The following is a 2,138-nucleotide window of genomic DNA, read 5'->3' on the forward strand; positions in this document are numbered from 1 at the left end:
GGGCACTGGCAATGCCAAGTGCAAGATAATTAATGCAGAATAATTAATGAAGCCTCTATATTTCAATAATTAGAGAAGCTTTACATGGCTATCATCTGTCTCCATTCATCAACTTATCTTAGTTTTATCAATGTGCTTTAGTCAAGTATGTTTTACTGGTATCAAATGCAACTGTAATCACCTGCTTGGATGCACTGCACTATGAAGGTGGCTTCCTAAGTCTCCATGTAAAACCTTCGATTTTAAAGTTTTAGAATCGCTGAAGGATCTTCTAACCCTACAAATTTAAATAGGGTGTTTTATTCCTTATATATTAGAAAAGCATTTTTGAAGAGTATTTGAATTTGAAAAGAAATTCTAAAAAATGTATGATATTTGAATAAAATAGTTTTTTATAACAAACCCTTATATCTTAAATTCTTATCTAAATACTATACATGAGAAAAGCCTACCAAATCATGTTTTCATTTGACTGTAAATAACCCCTCACAAGATATACAAATTATTTTTGATTTGCCAAGCAAGACACACACACACACAAACACACACACGTGAGCACACACATGCACACAAACGAAGAGTTTTATCTTCTCAATATACATGCAAAATATATCCTGGTAGTTCTGAATTCAAATGTAAAGACTTTTACAGGTGGATTCATTAACCATTAGAGCCTTTCTTCCTAAAGCAACCTGAATTTATATTCAGTAGAGCATCTACAGCCTGACTTATATTCCCAGGGAGAACTAAGTCTATAATACATAATCAAGAATTAAAAGTGAATGTTGTGCCAATTAAATATGGGCCTCATGGAAAATACTGGAGTTGTAGGAGTGTCTTTCCTTCAGCCTGACAGAATGTATGCCATTGTATGCTTTTCTTCAGGTTTCTAAGTCTTCCTTGATGGTTCTTATATATTTTATGTTTTATTATACTCCTGTTATTGCACTACTATGTTTTTAATATTTTAGAAACCATTTTATTTTTGAAATGCACTGTTTCTTCTCTTTAGTAATAGCTGGATACTTGCTGCTATATGCCAAGTATTAGTCTGGAGGCCAATTCTGGCATGAAAGTCAAAGGACAGATCATTTCATGTAATAACAGAAAATGTAGTATGTGTCATGATTCATTGATGTATTAACACTAAAGAATTTATCTCTAGCCATTCATCTAAATTAGAATTGGGACTAGAATTAGTACATATCTTGATTTGAGGATCAGGGGGCTGAAAGAAAAGGTCTAGTGCTCACGAATCCTGGAGGGTAACACCATGAAGGCAGCTAAAACTGGTATGAAACATCAGAGCCACCTTGGAAAGCAGAGATGGTAAAAGCAAAAAGGAGAGTTTTGAGGACCATGAAGGGATCTGAGAAAACCTAATCTACTCTCTTCACGGTAGATCAAAACCCTCATTTTGCACACCATTCCTCTCACCTAAAAGATCATACAATGCTTTGTAGCAACCAAAACTTGTTTTGAAAGACTAGTAGCACCTGATTGTTTTTTATGCTTTTACAACTATGCAATAAACAACACTGGTGATGGGAGCAAGCTAGCAAAATACAAATTAGATTTCAGTGAAACTTTTGGCATCATCCTTCCAGGCTTTCTAATGAAATGAGCTAGGAGAGGGTGGGAGACAAATGAAGTCCAAAATCCCTATATACCCATATCATGTTAAGAGAGTTATTTTTAAAGGGATGTATAATCATCTGGCCATCACTTCTAGGCATTTGCCTGTTAACATAAGAAGAGAACAGTGGGAAGAAAGAGAAAATGGAAAAAGCAGTAATCTACATTGGATAATACTTTAACATTTCCTATGGTGGTATGGTCACTAAGTTTCTTTCAACATTAATAAGAGATGGTATGTTGGAAACAATCTGTCTGTCCACAGGCAAACATGTATGATTTCATTTATACTTGGAATGTAAAGTAGTCATATTTATAGAAGCAGTGAGTAGTAAGGTGGTGGCTAGGGGCTGTGGGAGAGGGAACGGGGAAGATGTTGGTCAAAGTATAGAAACTTGCAGTTATAAAGTGGGTAAGTTCTAGAGACCTAATAATAGCATGTTGACTGTAGGTGGAGAAAGATGTGATACTTTTCCTTCTTGAGCATAAGGATCAGGGTCAAC

The sequence above is a fragment of the Homo sapiens genome, chromosome X, assembly GCF_000001405.40.
Source record: "Homo sapiens chromosome X, GRCh38.p14 Primary Assembly".
Classification (NCBI taxonomy): domain Eukaryota; kingdom Metazoa; phylum Chordata; class Mammalia; order Primates; family Hominidae; genus Homo; species Homo sapiens.